At 43.7% G+C, this 21,835-nt stretch overlaps 2 long non-coding RNA genes across 2 annotated transcripts in view; both read left to right on the top strand.

The window, feature by feature from the left end:
• Nucleotides 1-21,835, top strand: part of LINC02885 (long intergenic non-protein coding RNA 2885) — a 241,252-nt gene that overhangs the window by 104,292 nt on the left and 115,125 nt on the right. The gene's annotated exons all lie outside the window — the stretch shown is intronic.
• On the top strand, nucleotides 9,400-20,265 carry LOC124905109 (uncharacterized). Its single transcript, XR_007068083.1, has 2 exons — nucleotides 9,400-9,484; nucleotides 19,706-20,265. It is a non-coding gene; the product is annotated as an uncharacterized LOC124905109 (long non-coding RNA).

Here is a 21,835-nt window from a genome sequence, read left to right as displayed (position 1 = left end):
TTTCTAGTCTCTTCTGTTCTACCCAAAGTCAAGAACATGCCTTATCTCAGCTACCCCTTACCTGCAGCATGGGCTGCTTCCAGGTTTCTGTAATGACAAACATCTTCTGAAATTGAGCAGAGAAGCAGAGAAAGGTAGCTGGGGCCGCTTTCTAAAATTATGAACCTGTGAAGGCCAGGGACTCTGTAACCCAGTGAGCAGGCCACCATAAATGGATGAACAAATTAGGATGAAGGGACCATTAGGATTGGAGAACCAAGGAAAGCTAAGATTAGTATGTAAAATGCCTGCTACAAGCTCCTATACAATTGTTAGAAATGGGTTGAATATTGGTTTTGAGCTCCCTGGCAGCCAAAATAAAAAAGAAAACCAAAATTAGCTTGTATGATATTCATGGCTCATTGTTTGCAAACAAAATAATTTGTCAGTAAAATACTAGATTTACTAGATTTTTCTTGTATAGAGAACAGAAAGAAATGCCTCCCTTGTGTACTCATCAAGAGACCCCTGTCTGATATAGTTGGAAATATCCCAAACAAAACTTGCTGTATTAAAATGTCCTTGCTTTGCTAAGTCATTTTGTATTCATGGAAGTAGCCTTGGGAATGGCTATTGCTTCAAGGTCAGACACTACTTTTCTGTTCCCCGCTGTCCTCCCATGGCAGGTAGAGCAATCTTCTATGTGCAGTAGGTTCCCCGTCTGTGCTTTTACCTGATTTACTCTTAATTAGGTATCTGTTGGATCCCAGAGCCCTGTATCTCATACTCCATTGTATCTAAGAAACATCCTATGACTTTAAAAATTGCTGATATATAACTGAGAGGCAAAATAATTAGTAAGGAAAATCGAAACAATTCTTCCTAAATTTATGGGCATTCTTACAGAGATATCTTTTAGGGAGTAAGAATTACCATAAATCCCCAGGGTGAACAATAGCACTAAAAGCAAAGAAGCCAAGAGTCAGCAAAAATCTTTGGTAGTACACACACTTTGTTTTTTTGGAAGACAAAAGGAACTGCCATCAAGTTGATTTTAATGGATCAGCTACTTGCCCCCTCCCCTTCAGCCTCTTCCCATGCCCCATCCTGCTACTTGTGGAATTGGAGGTGGAATCTTCCTGGGGGTGTCCAAAGAGTGACAACATCCCTATAGATTACTTCCAGCTGCTTGCAAAGAGAACATGATTGGAAAGGAGGTGCTTTCTTTGTCAGGATTACAGCACCAGTGATGCACAAACAAGCCAGACCCAGGTTGATTGTTGGGGGGACTCTTGTCTCCCACTGCATGCAGAAGAGCATGCATTGGTGTAATACACAGGCATCTCTCCCTCACACGTCCATCACTCCTTCTCTGGGGGAGCAGAGACTTACTTGATTGGTTAGTTTGGGAGAAGGAACTAGGCATCCCTGGCGTGGCCACTTTCTGTTTTTCTCTTGATTCCTTCCTGCCTGCAGAAAGCACAACTCTACTCCTGAATGCTGTAGGAGTAGAGTTGTTTTCATGTTTTCAATTTTTTCTTTCTGGGGCAGGCTCCATGGGGAAGCCAGCAGGCTTTCAGCACTCTGTGTGACCAGGTAGAGAAGTCTGCCCAGTTCTAATGTGCAATACTAGGAAACCCATTGCTGCTACTCATTTAAGTCTTGTTCTCCAACAACTGTTGTCTGTGGGGAAGGGAACTTCTAAAATCCCAACTGCCTGAACCTTTTGCTTATTTCTAAGTTGGTCTTGCACCAGGGCAGGAAAGAGGTGTCCAGTATTGAGACCTCTAAAACTCCAGCACTGAGTGTGATCAGGAAGCTGCACAGATGTGGCTTAAGTAAGCAGGCCATGGGCACACAGACTGAGGGTGGCTAGTGGGTCTTCTCAAAGTGTCACAGATTGTAAGAGAGAGGCTACCACAAACTGAGAAGAAGAAAGCAGGTGGTTAGTATTGGTGGAAGCCCAATTCTCTAGGTGAAAATTTAGGAGCAAGGAGGACTAGAGACAGAGAGGGAACTTGTAATAGACAAGTATATTTTTGCCTGTTGAGCCTATATATTTTCTTCTTTGGGTAACCACACCCAATTTCCTTTGGGAAGCAACTAGTCTTTTAGAGAATATGGAGTTCTTACTACCTTTCTCCAGGGGAGGGTATCTAGCCAGTTAATTTCAATTCTGGAACATTTATAGAACTATTGGGAAGAATAAGTTATTTGCCTTGGCACAAGTAGTCTGGGAATATGCAGTCTGAAGTCACCAATGACCATCTGGCCACCAAAAGGGAGCACGGCTGAGGCTGTATCAATATGAAACCAACGTGGAGGAAAGCAGAGTTAGAAGTGGGTACAATACCTGTATCCAGGTATGCCAGGAACTGTCTATTGGACTTCTTAATTGAGAGATACATTCCCTTTTGCTTAAACCACTTGCTATGGTCTGAATGTTTGCCTCCCCCCAAAATTCATTTGTTGAAATTCAGATCCCCAAGGGAACTGTATTAGTCCCTTTCCATACTGCTATAAAGAACTTCCTGAGACTGGGTAATTTAAGGGAAAGAGGTTTAATTGATTCACAGTTCAGCATGGCTGGGGAGACCTCAGGAAACTTACAATCATGGCAGAAGGTGAAGGGGAAGCAAGGCACGTTTTTCACAAGGCAGCAGGAAGGAGAAGTGCTAAGTGAAGGGGGAAGAGCCCCTTATAAAATCATCAGATCTTGTGAGAGAACTCACTCACTATCATGAGAACAGCATGGGGAAAACCACCCCGTGATTCAATTATCTCCACCTGGTCTCTCCCTTGACACATGGGGATTTTGGGGATTATGATGATTACAATTGAAGATGAAATTTGGGTGGGGACACAAAACCTAACCATATCATTCCACCCCTGGCCCCTCTAAAATCTCATGTCCCTTTCACATTTCAAAACCAATCGTGCCTTTCCAACAGTTCCTCAAATCTTAATTCATTCCAGCATTAAGCCAAAATTCCAAGTCCAAAATCTCATCTGAGACAAGGCAAGTACCTTCTGCTTATGAGCCTGTCAAATCAAAAGCAATTTAATTACTTCCTAGATACAATGCAGGTGTAGGCATTGGGTAAATACATCCATTCCAAATAAGAGAAATTGACCAAAACATTGGGACCACAAGCCCCATGCATATCTGAAATCCAGTGGGGCAGTCAAATCTTAAAGCTCTGAAATGATCTCCTTTGACACCATGTCTCACATCCAGGTCACACTGATGTGAGAGGTGGGTTCCCATGGTCTTGGGAAACTCTGCTCCTGTGGCTTTGCAGGGTACAGCCCCACTCCTGGCTGCTTTCATGGGCTGGCATTGAGTGCCTGTGGCTTTTCCAGGTGCATGGTGCAAGCTGTTGGTGGATCTACCATTCTGGGGTCTGGAGGACAGTGGCCCTCATCTCACAGCTCTACTAGGCAGGGCCCCACTGGGGATGCTGTGTGGGGGCTCTGAGCCCACATTTCCCTTCCACACTACCTTAGCAGAGGTTCTCTATGAGGGCTCCACCCCTGCAGCAAACATCTGCCTGGACATCCAGGTGTTTTCATACGTCCTCTGAAATCTAGGTGGAAGTTCCCAAACCTCAATTCTTGACTTCTGTGCACCCACAGGACCAATACTACATGGAAGCTGTCAAGACTTGGGGCTTGCACCCTCTGAAGCAATGGCTTGAGCTGTATGTTGGCCCCTTTCAGCCATGGCTGGGACACAAGGCACCAACTCCCGAGACTGCACAAGGCAGCAAGGTCCTGAGCCCTGGCCAGAAAACAACGTTTTCCCCCTAGGCCTTCAGGCCTGTGATGAGAGGGGCTGCCATAAAGACCTCTGACATGCCCTGGAAACACAGTTCCCATTGTTTTGGTAATTAACATTTGGTTCCTGATTACTTATGCAAATTTCTGAAGCTGGCTTGAATTTCTCCTCAGAAAATGTTTTTTTCTTTTCTATTGTATTGTCAGGCTGCAAATTTTCCAAACTTTTGTGCTCTGCTTGCCTTTTAAACATAAGTTCCAATTCCAAACCATCTCTTTTGGAATGCATAAAACTGAATGCTTTTAAGAGCACCCAAGTCACCTTTTGAACATTTTGCTGCTTATAAATTTCTTCTGCCAGATACCCTAAATTATCTGTCTCAAGTTTAAATTTCCAGAGATCTCTAAGGCAGGGTCAAAATGCTGCCAGTCTCTTTGCTAAAGCATAGCAATAATCACCTGTATTCCAGTTATCAAGAAGTTCCTAATCTTTGTCTGAGACCACCTCAGCCTGGACTTCATCATCCATTTCACTACCAGCATTTTGGTCAAAGGAATTCAACAAGTTGCTAGGAAGTTACAAACTTTCTCACTGTTCCAACCTCTGCCTGTTACCCAGTTTCAAAGTTGCTTCAACATTTTTGGGTATCTTTATAGCAGCACCCGACTCTCTGTGGTACTAATTTACTGTATTAGTCTGTTTACATACTGCTATAAAGAACTGCCTAAGACTAGGTAATTTATAAAGGAAAGAGGTTTAATTGACTCACAGTTCAGCATGGCTGGGGAGGCCTCAGGAAACTTACAATCATGGTGGAAGGTGAAAGGGAAGCAAGGCACCTTCCTCACAAGGTGACAGGAAAAAGAAGTGCCAAGTGAAGGGAAAAGAGTCTCATAAAACCATCAGATATTGTGAGAACTCACTCAGTATCATGAGAACAGCATGGGGGAAACTTTCTCCATGATTCAGTTACCTTCCCTTGGTCTCTCCCTTGACACGTGGACATTATGGGGATTATGGGGCTTACAATTCAAGATGAGATTTGGGTGGGGACACAAAGCCTAACCATATCAGTGATGGTATCAAAAGGTGAAGTCTTTGGTAAATGATTAGGTCATGAGATTACAGCCCTCATAAATAGAATTAGTGCTCTTAAAAGAGACACCAGAGAGCTGACTAGTCTCTTCCACCATGTGAGGACACAGTGAGGAGGCACCATCTATGAGCCAGGAAGAAAGTCCTCACCAGACACCAACTATTCTTCTGTCTTTACCTTGGACTTCCCAGAACTGTAAAAAATAAATTTCTGTGGTCTATAAGCCACCCAGTCGATGGTATTTTGTTATTAACAACCTGAATGGATGGATTAAGACACCAGTTTAAATCATTTTTTTCCACCAAAAACTAAAATAGTTAAAATAAATGAAGAAATTAAATAAGAGCTATGCTTGTTTGGAAGGAGATAGAATCCATACATTTATTCTTTCTCTCAATTGCACCATTATTCACTGAACAGTTGCCATAAGCCAGGCTGTGTGCTGGGCCCTGGCAGTACAGAGATGAACAAAGCACCATTCTTGCCCTTAGAAGCTCACAGACTAGCTAGAGGGACAGACAGATGAGCAGGGAACCATAGAGTGATATGGTATGTGAGATAGGAGAGGCACATGGATCAGGGGGCATGGTGGCTCAGCCATTCCTGGGAGGGATCAGTGAATTGAGACTTACACATGAGCAGGATGTAGGAAAGCCGAGAAAAATAAAGTGTCATCTATGATGATACAGAGAAAGGAGAGGTCAGGGTGTGGTACCTAATAATGATGATGAGGATAATAAGTGTAATATTTAGTTAATATTTATTGAGTGCTTATCATACACTCTGCCCTGGTCCAAGTTCTTTGTATATATAATGTCATTTGATCCTCATGGTGATTCCATGAGGTAGATACCTATTTTACTGGTAAGAAGGGGTTAGGGAAGTTGACAGAAACCACATAGCAGGCCAGGGCTGCTGGGATATATGACAAAAACATATAGAGTGTTGATAGATGAAACTCTTGAGAATTTGTGTTGGGTTTGGATTGTGAGAGATTTTAAATACAACACAAGGGGCTCAATTAGAGGACAGAAAGTACATTGTTGTTTACTGAGTGCCTACTATATCCCAGTTATATATCTGATCTGATCAAATTTTTACAACTCCCCTATTGGATAAGCATTATTAGCCACATTCTTACTAAAACAACTCAGACATATTTTTATTTTCCTAAATCACTCTACTAGTAAGTGGCAAAAAGTAAAAAAAGCTGGCTCCTGAACACATTTTTTAACTGCTATATTATTGCCCATTTCCTCTTTCTGATAAATATTTTTAATCCTTTTCCCCCCCTTCTGATCAACTGATAAAAAGCTATCATTTCTCTCTGCAGAAACATACATGGAACTATATACCAACAAACTTTTGCTTGTAATTTATTTTATTGCATGGGAATTTCATTTTTTTCATATGGACAGACCATACAAACAAGTCTTACAAAAAATTATTTGTCTCATTTCCTGCCTTCCTCCACAAAATATTACTGCTTTCTTCCTTAAAAAAGCAATAAATCCAAATTTTGCAAATGAATGAAAAATGTAAATTGAAATTCTGCTGAAAAGTAACATTTCAGTGAGGAGCCTGCTGTTGTTTGACTTAAAAAAGAAATAGAAATGTTGGAGCTGTCTTTGCATGACAGCATCATTTCAGCAATCTAATCATTTCAACATTGTTTTTTTGGCAACAAGTCCCCAAACTGTGACTCAGAAAGGTAAGTAACAAACCCCATTATTGTTTCCAGAACTCACTTTGCCACACAAGGTCAGATGTGTGTCAAGGAGGCCCAGAATCCTCTAAGATTCTTTGAGTTTAATTTATTTTGTATAATCCCCTTTGTCCTAGAGTTAATGAGGTTGGCTCTGCATTCTTGATGCCATCTGTGTCAGCAAGGTAAGGATTATGAATCCAGTTCAATCGTAAGGCTGTCTACACACTAGTAAACCTCAGAAGAATTCTGCTATATTTCCTGGTGTCTACAGATTTCTGCTTATGGAGAAACAGACAAGGTTTTGTCACTGTGTACAACAGTCTACAAAAACATTTTTTCTTGACTGGGAAACAGGATAATTTTCCACCTCCTAGTTCTTTCAGAAGAGTGAAAATTGCTGAAATGCTAGGAACTTTTTGGCAGTGTCCATAACGGTGAATGCCGGGCTTGAATTCAAACCACTACTTTATCCAACTTGCCAAAAATGTCCACCAAGAATTTCTCCCTGTCAGATTATTCTGAGAAAGAGCATTTTAATCTGCAAAGTAATAATAACAATAATGATAATAGTGACTATATGCCAGAAGTTCCATTGAGTGCTTTAAGACTTAGTGTCTAGAATCTGGTGAGCCTCCCAAGATAAGGGCTTCTGAGTTCTACTCCTGTTTCTTGATTAAGTATTAAAAAGGTGGTTCAAGGAGAGGATAACAGGAAGTTCTCTGAGGTTGATCAGCTGGATCTGACACTTGAGCACACCGATATAGAAAGCAACCAAGGGGCAATGTCATCTGATGCTTTTTTCTTCACTGTATCACTTCTCTTACAATTTAGTGCTTAAGCAACAGCCATTAATTTGGCTCATGATTTTGTGGATTGGCGGTTTGGGCTGGGCACAGCTGATGGTTCTTCTGGTCTGAGCTGCGCTCAGTTGATCTCAACTGGGCTTGTGCATGCATCTGCATTCCTGCTGGTGGATTGGCAAGGGCCTGCTGGTTTGTAGTAGCTAGCCTGGTCTTGATTGTTGGCATGTCTGAGCTCACTCTCCATGTTGGTTTCTTATCCTCCAGGTGGTTAGCCTGGGCTTGTTCACATGGTGGCTGGCTTCCATGAATAGCCGGAGAGCAAGCCTGTGAGAACAAGAACAAGTACTTTTCAAGTATTTGTTTTTGTTCCTTTGCCCCTGTCCTACTGGTCAAAGCAAGGTACTAGTCAGCCCACATTCAAGGCATGGACCCAAACTCCAACTATTGGTGAGAAACACTACCTTGTGAAGCTGTGGATATGGGAAGGAGATTAATCTGTGGCCATTTTTCTAATCTACCATATTTGCAAAACACAAAAGCCTTTTAAGAGTTAAGGGGCCAATATATTATACCTTTCTCCCACTTTTGAGTTTAGAGCCAATTGAGAGAAGTACACTGGGGTCAAATGGGGCAGATCAAATACCAGCTTAATTATTGGTGAAGTTAGAATGGGAACCCATTTTGCATTTGTAGTCTGAACAGACTTTCTATAATCCTCTCCTAGAATGAAAGTAATCATCTGGAATTGAAGCTGTCCCCCTGCAGGAGCTTAAAAATGTGTGTGTGTTTTGAGTAGGTGGATGCCAGAGAGAAAAAAAAAAAAACACAAGGAAGAGGGCTAGGTAGAGACTCTTTTCCTCTGCTCTGTAGGGAAAAATTGTATCACTGAATGCTAGATACTTCCTTTCCCATCATGGGAATAAAGAAAAAAGTGGAAAGAGAGGGAAAATGTTACTATTTATAAGCCTAGGTGGGAATGCTATGAGAGGGAGAAAAATGGTCCCCCTTATCCCAGATGTGTTTCCAAGCAATGAAGATACTTACGTTTGTGTGTGCCCTGAGTGTCGTTTTTTCCCTCTAAGTAAATTGCTTGGCAATGAAACCATTTATCATTGTGAACATGTGGATGGTAAGAGAAGATTCCCAATGGGACTTGCAAAATAGGACTTCTTCATTGATAGTGTAAGTGAAAATAAATTAAAAACCCAGGAATTAGCTTCATTGAAATACATCAGTAGTTACATACTGCTGCAAGATGAAGAGAAATGGCTGTCAATTCCATGACCTATTTCAAAATACTGGAGAAAATTTGATGTCTTGGGAGTGAATGCCGTGTAACAGAAGTGATGCTTCTATTTTTTTTTTCTAGTGTTCCAAGACCCGAAGTAGCTTGACCATGCCCTAAAATGAAGCTGTTTATGTGCTTTTTATTTTTCCTTAGCAATTCCATGAGCACTTGTTGGGGGCTGAATTTTCATGGTCACAACAGTCCTCAAAACTAAGGTTTGGGCGGGGCTCAGTGGCTCACATCTGTAATCCCAGCACTTTGGGAGGCCGAAGCAGGCAGATCACCTGAGATCAAGAGCTTGAGAGCAGCCTGGCCAACATGGTGAAACCCTGTCTCTACTAAAAATACAAAAATTGGCTGGGCGTGGTGGTGGGTGCCTGTAATTCCAGCTACTTGGGAGGCTGAGGCGAGAGAATCACTTGAGCCCGGGAGGTGGAGGTTGCAGTGAGCCGAGATCACGCCTTTGCACTCCAGCCTGGGCAACAGAGCGGGACTCCGCCTCAACAAACAAACAAACAACCAAAAACACAAAAACCCCAACTCAGGTTTGTAAAGATGTTAATTTGCTTTATTTCTGTATAAAACAGTGTCTTAGCTCTCATGCCTCCAATTCCATAAGGGCAAAAAACTTAATCTTGCAAAACCAAGTATGCTCAGCCAAGTCTAGTTTAATACTCAGTCTCTTTGGGACAAATACACAATTAACTCAAGATGCTTAGCTTCTCCTTTTTCCTTTGTTTCTCCTCAAGGGACAGGAATCAGATGGGCATAGGGCATCTGGTCCATGATCATCCTTTGTTCGTGCTGATCTCTGATGAAATATCTGAAGAAGGTGGGTCCCTATCACCATGTGTTGACATTTGCTTCTGTGGTGTCTGTGGTACTATGTGGTCTCCCACTGATAGGCCATGCTTTCTGTTTCTTCTTCATCCTAACTCAGGCCCCTTTGGGCCAGTTACAATCTCTTAGCCCTTCTGCTCTCCCCTCAATCGCTTTGCAACTCTTAGTGTCTTTTCCCCCCATTTCCCCACTGGGGTGCATGGGACACCATTCTGTGAGGCCACTTTCAGGCCCATCCATCAAGACTCCTTCCTCTGCCATTGTTAACTCTACCACTCTTGTGCCTTGCTGGGAACAACCTCTCTGCAAGGTTTGCAGACTCCCCAAGGGACCCTGGAGGGGAAGATACAGATATTTTATGCTCTGAGATCTCCCCAAGACATTTGGTGTTTCTGTGAATCCTCTCTCCTTTCCAGATTTAAGTGGAAAGGGCAAGAGTGAGAATGTGGTCCTTTCCTCTGGAACTTACTTCAATAACCAACTCTCTTACTTCCCTCTTCCAAATGTATGGTAACCTGTCTCCTCTTCTTAGCCCATGTCATATATGTTACCTCTCCTCTCAGGCTTCTTTATCATTTATTTAATGCCCATGCCTTCTTTTTTTCAAAGATCAGCTCTTGAGTATTCTCTCAAGGCTGTTAAGACTGCTGTCACTGTTACGGCTGTAAAACTGGCATTCTAAAACTCAGTCGAGTTTTGTTTTAGGCTGTATTATCCTTTTCCACTGAGGGTAGGACATACAGAAAGTTTTTGCTGCTGGTTGGCATGGTGCAGGGGGTGAAGGGCAGGGTTGTGAAATACAGGTGAAGAGCATTTCAGTTAATGTCACAGAATTCTCCCATAGAACCTTCTACATCTTACAGATAAGGCTTCTGTGGTGGGCCAAATACAAGTTTTAGTATTATTGCAGTTTTTTCAAGTTAAGAATCATTCCCACCAAACATGCAGCTAGAGGCAGTAGTAGGTTGATGTAGTTACTTCTGGGGCAGGGGAGGGGGCTGGTTGTGCTGTGGTCTGGGAAATAGATCACCATAGGAGATAGAGGAGCTGATGCTGGCACCGGGAAATGGGATTGGTGCCTCCACCAATGGGTTGAAGAGAACAGACAACTGTTCGTAGCTCCACAGCAGCCTAGGGCAACCACGTTAGCTTCATCAGCCATTCCATGTCACCTACAGCATCAAGATATCATCCATTTGTTCACCAGTAAATTTCTCTCCCAATAATGGAACACAGGAACCCACTACTCCAAGATTAAGGAGAGTGGCGGGCAAGATGCTATAGCTTTGAGGTACAGTGCTGTCCTCTGAGGTAGGTGAAAAAAGATTTGCATCTTGGTTTCCCCTTTCCCAGCTGTGTGGCCTTGGGAAAGCTACTTAATCTTTCTAGGCCTTAGTCTTTTAAAAATCTGAAACGTGAAGAATGACAGAATATCTAATGTGGTGTGTGTGTGTGTGTGTGTGTGTGTTAAAAGAATTAAGTGAACTATGATATGTATAGTCCTTGGCAGAATGCCTGGTACTTAATCAGCACTCAATGAAGGTTAGCCATTATTCTTGCTGTGTTGTTTTTTAATTGTTATTGTTGTTGCCATTGCTATTCAGGAGAACACTGTAGACTTTGCTTTGAGCATTCTTTTTCCAGTGACTTATACTGTCCAATGTTAGATTAAGAATGGGCAAAGGTCAGGTGACAATTCAGTTAGATTGGCTCTAAGCTTTCTGTGGCAAGATCACAGTCATTCAAAAGGACAGCCACGTTGGAGCTCTGCCGTGTTTGGTGATGAAAGTATGGGCAAGGTGAGCTTTGCTGACATTTTCAAGGTCAAGCTAGGACTGATTTAGACCAGCCATGTTGGAGTCATAATTGCAAGTAGGTTTTCTTCTTTCCTATCACTTTGAGATTCTATTCTAAATACCATAAAATGATGACCATGATTATAGTACTTGTTAAGAGGAAAACAGTACCTTAACAATATAATTTGACATAAAAATGTTTTCCCAGACAGGCAATTTACAACGTAGCATGAGGGAAATTTATGAAATAAAAATTTCTGTCTTGTTTTTAGAGAACTTGGAACCATCCATGTAATAACCCCAGGGCTCCATAGGTTACGTATTAAGAATTTCTTTTGCTGGTTTCTCTGAGCACCAACATTCTGTGCCATCATCTGTCTCATAGGGCATCCAGCCCAGTGCTATACACATATCTAGTAGATGTATAATAAGTGTATAATAGGTGTATAGTATATGCCCACTAAACTGAATTGAAAAGTCTTCAGGACTCAAAATTATCCAATTGTAATGGGTAATGAGAAGCAATGAAACAGATTCATCCAGGGTTTCCCTCTCCAATTAGATTACATGGTAACTGTCTTGGACATGCCAGACTGAAGGTTTATTACTGAATTATCAGTCTGTGCTGAGCTCTGCCAGAGGTAAGATGAGAGAGCTCAGGAAATAAAGCCAAAGATGGGAAACTGGGAAGATGGCCAGTTGGTGCATCAAGGTAGAAGGGTGAGGCTGGAGTCAGGGCCTTGGAGAAAGCACGAGAAAGGCAGGGGCAAGTGGGGCAGCATTGAGGGAAACAGAGCTGATCGGGCTGGATCTGAGAATTTGTATACTGTTCTGAGAAATGTACTACTTGCCCTCTGAATGAGGGCAACTGGGAGAAACAGGTGTGATGGGAGGAAAACGGAGCCCCCTCTTCTTATTTCTTGATGAGCAGAGCATTTTGGCAATCTAGTGATAATAAAATACCTCCATGGGTGAGATGCTGGCTTCTCCAACTAGAAAGACATTCTCTACTGACCCAGAGCAGCTACTCAGGATCTCCTTGGGCTGAGTTTGGTGCAAAGGCTCATGAGAAGCGCTGGGACTGGCCCACAGTTGGCTACTGACCTTGGTTGAATGGAGGCAGAGGGTGCATCTGTATGATCTGCTGCCTTGTGCACTTAGGGCCTAGGAACTGGCAGGCAAGGTCAGAAGAACATGTGTTGCTAAGAAAATCCACCCAGCATGCAATTTTTATTACACCCAAATATAGGTCACGTTGAGGGTGTGCTTGGGGAAGCAAAATATCATTGTGTGGCTGAAATCCATAAGCAGAAGCTGTCAGTCTTGGGTGCCTCCTCACCCTGTCTGGCAGCAGCCCCTACAAAGCAAGAAATGAGTCCTTCCCATTAGCTTCCCCTTCTCCCACCAGTCTCATTACCCTCTGCTCATCCCCTGGATTCTGAATCAAGTTCAGGCTCCCTGCACAGCAGGGTTGCCAGCTGGTTTGACTTTATTCTGTGATTCACTGTGTAGCAGAGGGAGTTTCTCTGATAAGCCTGTTGAGGCTGGAAACTTAACCCTCCAAAATCTCCTTTACAAAAAGCAAATGCGGGAGGAGTTTCCCTTGGCCTTGCCTGGCAGATGCAAAATGTTCCCAGGAGCCAGGTCAGATATCCTTGTGTGCAACAGTGCCATGAGTGACCCCAGCTCCTCAGAGCACAGCTCCAGGACTGTGGGTATTAGGAGACAGTCTACAAATTCAACCTCAAAGGGTCTTCACTGGTGTTGGCCAACATGGGCCCATCTCTGTGACTGCTTAGGAGCCAGATGAGGCTATTTGGAAAGGTCTGGCCAGTTGTGTGATATCAGGCAACTTACCTGCCCTCTCTGACCCTGAATTTGTCATCTGCAAAACGGAGACCCTACTGCACATGTCCAATAGTGCTGGGATTCCAAATAGGATGCAGGTTAAGCATTCGAAGGCATCCTTGCTCACGGCAGTACCTAGTGCGTGCTTTGCTATTGTTTTCCTTTATTTTTAAATTGTCACCCACCTGCCTGTCTCCTGTCATGAACTCCTTAGCTATGTTTAATGGAGAGAGAGTTGGCCAAGATCCCCAGCCCCTGAAAAGTTCCTTAAGATCCATGATCACCCCAATAGGGAAGAGGACAGTTGAGGCAGTGGCTGCCCTTGATTTCTCACTGGGTGTTTGTTGGCCTCAGATTTCTGTGACATTTCCTACGGGGGTGAGCTAGGCTGGGCCAGTAGTGAATGTGGAGACTGCGAGAGCTACTTTTGTCTGGGCTAGAAGGGAAGGCAACTATTCTGGGGGCTTGACTTTGCCCCTTTCCTCTGGACTCCTAAGTTTTTCCAGTTTTTCCTTCAAGGATGGGAGTTTCTGGGATGGTGATGGTGGTGATTCTACTTTTTGGCACCTTCAGCTGCTTTGGGAGAGCACTTCCAAGATGCAAAACAATCCTCAAAGCAGGAATTCCAAGGAGCACCTTCCAGCAAGAAAAGAGCTCTAACCTCTTTTGAGTTTCCTCTTACAAGCTCCACTCCCCAGCCCCTGAGGCCAATCCTGCCACCTCCATGTCTCCTATGATTAATGCCCTGCATAGGTCTCCAGGCAGATGTCCCCAACCCTGGCTGCACTTTGGAATCACTTAGGGAGCCTTAAGAAGACACTACATGAGACCCACCCTAGACTCCAGTTGGAGTCTCTGGGAGTGGGCTAGATGAACCGTATTTTAAAAATCTTTGGCCGGGTGTGGTGGCTCACACCTGTAATCCCAGCACTTTGTGAGGCCAAGGTGGGTGGATCGTGAGGTCAAGAGTTCGAGACCAGCCTGACCAACATGGTGAAACCCCGTCTCTACTAAAAATTTAAAATTTAGCCGGGTTTGATGATGCATGCCTATAGTCCCAGCTAGGAGAATTGCTTGAGCCCAGGAGGCAGAGGTTGCAGTGAGCCGAGATTGTGCCACTGCCCTCCAGCCTGGGTGACAGAGCAAGACTCAGTCTTGGGTGGGGTGGGTGGGGCAGGGGAGTGGGAATCTTTCCAGATGATTCCAATCTGCAGCCATGGTCAAACGCTTCAGGGCTGGAGAATGTGAAGACTTTCTCTGAGTCACTTCTCCCTGACTATAACTCATTCCCTGCTTGGGTCTGAAGGAGGTCTGGCTTTGCCTGCCTGTCTGGCACATGCTTTGCACCTGGCCTGTCTGAATTGCATGTGTTTCAGAAGACCCCTCAGGGGCCTGGAGATGGTTTAGCTCCAGGGGAACAGACAAAGAGGAACTAAAGCTAGCCTTCACTGATTACAGTTTCAAACATCTTTGCATCATTTGCACGCTTGCCTGTTGTCGAAGGTCTTTATATAAAATGGCCACAGCCCTCAATATTCTCACTCTCCACTGCTTGATTCTTGTTTCATTTGTTTTCCTACTGGGAAACAGAACTTATTGCCACCTGAACAGTCTATCTTCTCCCCCTCTCCCTGAAATAAACATTATAAAATGTTTTCATTGTCTTCCTTCATTAGACTATAAGCTTCACGAGGGCAAAAATTTTATTTTTTGTTCATGCTGTATCTTGAGGATCTAGATACATCACACAGTAGATCCTCCATAAATATCAGAAAAAACAATTTTTTGAGTGAACAAATGAAGATTTGCTCTTCATAGTCTGGCCTGGTTGCTGTAAAGAAAAGATAGGAAGTTGATAGCCAAATATGGATCAAAACATTAACATAATTAAAAGGCTAGATGAGCATCTTATAATTTCTGAACACCCCAATCATGAATGTGGTGGGGGTCCTAATACCCCCAGCCCCTTCCTCAGTGCATCCAGAGACAAGCACATGGGTCTTTTTAAATTTTAAAGCTGATGATTGTAGGCAAACAGATCCTGTAAGGGAAAATCCCTCATTGTTCCTTTCCTCTGTGTAAAGCTAGCAGAGTCATTTGCCCAAGGTCACATGGCTAGTTAGCCATAAAACTAGGATTCAAAGTATGTGCCCAGGATGAGGATGAGGCTCAGCTCATAACCTGCACTGCACCAAGTACCATAAAGCTTGGTCACCCACCTAGGTATTACTAAAAGGCTCTCTACATGTTTTTTTGCTCCCCTAAATTTCTCTTTTTGTCTCTCTCCCAACATTCATACCTCAATGCACAAGGTGTTGGGAATCTCAACCAATGGCAGACCTCTTATAGGGGCAATGTGACTTGCAGGATTAGGCCCCCTATAAAAACTGAAGCACCAGGTAGCAGGGGAAGGATGAATTTCCTTTAGTTAGCTCACATGTTAGAAAGAGTAGAAGGGTCTATCTAGCTTTACTATCTCTTGCTCTCTCTCTCGCTCTCTCTCTCTCATCTCTATATTATTTATCTTTCTATCATCCATCTCTATCATCTACACACACACACACACACTTATGTTTTAATGCACCATCAGATAAAACACGCTCTTCTTCCCTAGGAAAGACAAACAAGGGGAGGAGAGGGGCCAGGAAGTTTCTTCTACTTGCAGGAGACACCTGGTGTGGGAAAGAAACACCCTATATACTCCCAACCACATGCACTGTTTCTAAAACCCAAAATGCCTCTGAAAGTCAAATGCAAGCCTGAGAGGTGAATCATTTGATTAAGGTCCCATAGCTAGCAAGGAATTTTCACCAGGGATGTCTTGCCCAAAGTCTGCATTTTCTATGACTGCCAAGCTGCCTCTCAGATAATCTATTTGATGCATACATAGTAAGAGGTCAGTTAGGGACTGGGTTAAGAAAGAAGGTGATCTTCATGGATGGGCTTCAGCTGGATGAATCTCAGCCTTCTTAAGCTTCTTGGTCAAGATCTACATAGAAATGCAGAAACCACTTTGATGGGGGTTGGTGGGCATGGCTAGTAAAACTGTGGAAGGGGTGTGTTGTGCTGAACCCCTATTAACCTCAGTAGGGAAGCCAGCAGGTTCAAGAAGTTGAAGAAGAGACACAGAGCCATCATATGAGACATGGGGTTTCTTTTTTTTTTTTTTTTTTTTTTTTTTTTTTTGTTGTTGTTTTTTGAGATGGAGTCTCGCACTGTCGCCCAGGCTGGAGTGCAGTGGCGCATCTTGGCTCACTGCAAGCTCCGCCTCCCGGGTTTACACCATTCTCCTGCCTCAGCCTCCTGAGTAGCTGAGATTTCAGGCATGTGCCACCATGCCCGGCTAATTTTTTTTCTTTTTTGTATTTTTAGTAGAGACGGGGTTTAACCATGTTGGTCAGGCTGGCCTCAAACTTCTGACCTCGTGATCTGCCTGCCTCGGCCTCCTGAAGTTCTGGGATTACAGGCATGAGCCACCCTGCCTGGCCAAGACTTAGGGTTTCATCAGGGGATTACATACAGGGGATAGTCCAACGGCAGCGGGCTGGACAGGACAGGCTGGACAGGAGAATCGCCTTACATATAGAAATGGTCCAGTGGCAGTGGGCTGGATAAGATAACTGCACTGCCTGGTGGTGGTGGGCTGGGCAGGAAAACTGCAGTCACTTGCAAACAGCATGCAGTTGATACAGCATTTTCACTTAACACCTTCCCCTTAATGACCTCCACCTGGCAATCTTCATTTAACCCAAAACTCAGGGCATCAATTCCCTATATGGCCTGTGATCCAAAGGACAGGCTGGGGTCCAGATGTTCCTCACAGACCACGAATGAATCTCTGGGTTGGCTATGCCTGGAATTCCTAGCTTGGAACATACATTCAGGTGTGTGTGCCATACAGGGTCATTCTAAGGATATGCTTGTTATTACCCTCAGGCATGTATAGCATGCAGGGTGTTACTAGCAAAAATTATTTCCAGTGCAGGACACTGTTTTTTTGTACCTATTTGTGGAAATCAATCAAGCCCCTTCTATTTCTTCTTCTGTAGGAGAGATGGATTTGGTTCAGTAAATAAAAGCTCAGGGTTCGAGAGGAGATGAAAATTGGCTTGTCCCCCTTTGGTGATAATGATCAATGATACCTACCATTTATTCAACACTAACTATACATCGGGCACTGTGTCAAGAACTTTGATTTCATAGACTAATTTCTTTCTCCTTATAACCCTATGTGGTAGGGTCGATTGTTATTTTTATTTTAGGGCTAAAGAAACAGAGGTTACCAGCTGGTACATAGCAGAGCCAGGAACCCCATCTAGTTCTGTGGACTCTGAACCAGTGTTCTCATGACTTTTGTGAGATTTCTGAGTGGAAGGCAGACACTTCTTATTCCTGAAAATGTAGTTTCCCTGACCTGAGTGTCCATGAGGGTTTTTCTTGTGGTCCAAGGCTGTGCACACTGAATGAAGCAGTCCTCAAGTCTCCTTCCCCATCTGCTGAAGTGGGATAACATCCCAAGATGAATGGAGAAAAAGAGACTAAGCCCCCCCTTCCCTCCATCCTCATCAGACAAGGGGAGTACCCTCACTCTGGCTGGGACCCTGCCCTGGCAAACTGCCTGGATAGAGTTATTTTATTTGCACATAGAAACCTGTCTCTTCCACTGTGAGAATTTTCCCAAGGAGGGGTCATCATTTGAGCTATTTTGATATTTCCCTGAGAAGCAGGAGAGTCCACTTCGGGTGGCTCCATTTTTCCAGGCATTACTGGGACCCAGTGCCTCTGCCTGTAAGGAGCTGTTTTATCTGAGATCAGCTCACATCCAGAACCTGCTGACAGCATTGAAGTTCCAACTTATTCAGCACCAGGGCATGTTATATTTTCCCCAGCCTTCACCAGGCGTCTAATATGAATTACTTCTTGGGGAAAAAAGACCATTCACAGACCTGCCTTTTAAATGCGAATGTGTTTGCTTATCAGATTGTCTGACTGGAAGGAGGCGTGCCAGCACCTTGGCATAAACCTTTGTGGAGAAAAATGGACTGCATGACTACTGGACATCTAAACATTTTTAAATAAATAGGCAGAAAGTCATGGCACTAATTAATAAGTCAAGAAACTTCCACAGAGCTTCATGGGCTCTTCTACCTAGACCAGAGACCTAGTCTGGTGAAATGCATGTGCTGATAATTGTGGAGGACAACTGTGGCTTTTGCCGGCCTGATAAACACCATGTTTATCAGGTGTTTATCCTGATAAACATGATGTTTTGGCCATCCAGAAGGAGCATCCAGATTTTTCTGTGGGAGATGTTCTCTTGCCCATTTGATCTAGTCTTGGTGTATAATCAGGGTGCCCCGCCAACAGCCAAGGGGTGGGCATGAGACTCAAGCTTGGCCATTCGCATACTTTCTCCCTGTAATTTAAATTTTACTACAAGGAAAACTTGGTGGCATCCATTCATTCCAACAACAATTGCCCAAATAGACTGTTCACTTGTTCCTGCCTCCCAGATCCCCAGCTGTATTGGTTCCCATTCTTTTTAAGAGCTGTTTCCCCAGCTTTCCATTTGATTCCTTGAACTGTCCCATACCATGCCAATAAATTCATTTTTGCTGAACTCAGAATTGCTGTTCGTTGTTCACAGCCACAGCCTCCAAAGGCTGTAATGATTCTCACAGGGGACACATTTCTTTTTGTGCTCTCTGTCTGTGCATTGTACAGTGGGCCAAGTTCCTGAATGTGCCCTTGTCTGTCTTTAACTGAAACTGGTCTTGCCTCACTCCCTGGTCTGAAGGCACTGGACTAGTACAGAGATGACCATTGGGTGGATCAGGTATAGCCCTTCCTAGAGCCCCCCTGCACCCCCAGAGGTGGCCTGGCAGGCTCAGCCAAGTAGGTGCAGTTCTAATCAGCTGAGCCAATCTGACCAGCTCCCTGTAAATTTGGAAGAGAGACTATGGAAAAGAGTGACCATTTGGTAACAAGAGGAAACTGCAGTGGATGCACTGGGGGGAGCAACCTTCTGACACTGGTCTTCTCTCTGCCCCTACGGTATCCCACAGCCACTCCCTAAAGTAGAGACTCACCCTCTGCCTGAATCCTGCTGCTCATTCAGAGCTCACCTTAAATGTCACTCCCCAGAGTAGTCTTCCCTGACTGCCCAATCTAAAGTAGCCACTACTTATCACCTCACTCAATGTTTGTCCTTTGCACTCTCTCATGTTTTCTTGTTAGTTAATTATCAAGTTAATTATCTCCCCACAGCTAGAACATAAGCTGCATGAAGGCAGTTCCTTGTCTGTTTTGTTCATGCTCTCTGGATCTAGAACAGTGCTCATCTCATAATTGGCACTAAGTATATATCAAGTGACTATATCTCCCATCTTATTCAATATATTATTGTGGTTGAACTGTGTCAGTCCTAATGCCTGGTACCCATGAATGTGCCTTATTTGAAAACAGGGCTTTACAGATGTAATCAAATTAAGATGGGGCCATACTGGAGTATTAGGCCTAATTTAATGACTGGTGTCCTTATAAGAAGAGGGAAATTTGTACACACACAGAAGGAGAACACCATGTGAAGCTGGAGGCAGAGATTGGAGTGACACGCCTACAAACTGAGGGGCACCAAAGACCACCAGCAACCACCAGAAGCTGGAAGAGGCATGGCACAGATGACCACAAGAGCCTCCAGAAGGAACCAACCATGCTGACGCCTTGATTTTGGACTTCCAGCCTCTCAAATTGTGAGCAAATAAATTTTTGTTGTTTTAAGCTACCCAGTTGTGGTACACTGTTATGGTAGCCTGATATAGTTTGGCTGTGTCCCCATGCAAATCTCATCTTGAATTGTAGCTCCCATAATTCCCACATGTTATGAGAGGGATCCGGTGGGAGGTAATTGAAGCATGGAGAAAGGTCTTTCCCATGCTGTTCTCATGATAGCGAACACATCTCATGAGATCTGATGGTTTTATAAATGGGAGTTTCCCTGTACATGCTCCCTTTGCCTGCCACCATGTGAGACGTGACTTTGTTCCTCCTTCACCTTCTGCCATGATTGTGAGCCCTCCTCAGCCATGTAGAACTGTGATTCCATTAAACCTCTTTCCTTTATAAATTACCCTGTCTCAGATATGTTTTTATTAGCAGCATGAGAACAGACTAATACACAGCTCTAGCACATTAATATATGTCCTAAATGAATTCCTTTCCTAGCATCACAAAGAATGTACAAGCTATTCCTCTCTTCTCTAAGTTGAGAACAATTCCTTATAATCCAAAGCTTGGTAAAGTGTCACTTCATTTATTCATTCAAATATTTGTTGAGGTGTCTACTACAGGACAAGCATTGGAGATATAAGAATAAATAAGACATTTTTGATGAAATTAGTCTCAGCCAATTAGCAACATTCTCCTCTGTGCTCACATAGCACTTTGCAGGGATCCTTAGTGTAGCCCTTATTACACTGCATTTTAGTTAGAGTTTTCCACCTTCTTGATCTCAAGGGCCTTATGTTCTTTAATGCTTGGTGCTCCACGCCTGGTACAAAGAAAATATTCAATAAATCCAATGAATGAATGAGTGGTGGATTAAATATTATATTCATAATACAAATAGGGAAATAATATGCTGCTAAAGATATTGTTGGAAATCCTTTACCTTTCCTTGTCATGTGTGTATTGTAGGGTGAGGGAGGTTATACAGTGTGGTGGGATGAATAGGAAATGCAGGTCAGGAGATCTGGTTTTAATTCTAGCTCTACTGTTGGAGATGACCAATCCTGTATGGCCTCAACAGGGAGGGCCAGAGTAAATAAGTAAAACTGGGGGAGAGGGAGGGATGGGATGAAAGGAGAGACAAAGGGAGGGAAAGAGAGAGAGAAGGAGGAAGAGAAAGAGATGGAAAGAGAGACAGAGAGAGAGATTGCAGCTCTCGCAGCTTAGTATAATAACTTCCCAGGAGTCAGAGATAAACAAACATAAAATGGGTTGCTTTGGGAGGTGCTAAGTTCTTCATTTCTTCACTGCTGGAGGTGTTCAAGGAGAGGCTGGATGGATGAGTGATGCTTGTCAGGAATCCTGCAGACTCAGGACACTCATGGAGAGGATGCTGATGGGATTAGATGGTCTTTCACCTCACACAGGTGGTATGATTCTATGTGTGTGACTTTGGCCAAGCCACCCTGTCTCTGTACGCAAGCTTCCTAGTCACCTGAAGGAGCTGCCTCTTCAAGTTCCTGAGAGTCAGAGTTCTCTGAGTCTAACTGAATTGATATGTCTGCAGTCTAGAGAGCTGGGCAAAGGGGACGGCCAGCACTGGGCTTTCTGGGGAAGAAAGGTCACTGGGGCTTCCACAGGGCAATGTGAGGCACTGGAGGCAAATCTTGATGTCTTAGGAAAATATAAATTAAATTTCTCTGCTAGCTCTAAACAAAAGAAGCTGTGCAAGGTCTTTTGCCCTAGAAATAAGAATTTCTGGGAGGCAGGAGGGTTCAGTGGCATAGGCTAGAAGTGGATGTCTTATCATAAACCCAAGAACAGGGCTAGTCCTGGAACAGAGTCCAATGACCAGGCCATGGTGTGGTCTGAGGTATGCAGTCATCAGGTCTTTTGTAATTATCTGTTTGTAGTAAACATGAATTGCTTTCTCATTCATGTAGCTTATTTTGTAATATTTGCTTTTTCTAATT

The sequence above is a fragment of the Homo sapiens genome, chromosome 22, assembly GCF_000001405.40.
Source record: "Homo sapiens chromosome 22, GRCh38.p14 Primary Assembly".
Lineage (NCBI taxonomy): Eukaryota > Metazoa > Chordata > Mammalia > Primates > Hominidae > Homo > Homo sapiens.
The sequence above is the reverse complement of the archived record's forward strand: the minus strand, read 5'-3'. Positions and strand labels throughout refer to the sequence as shown.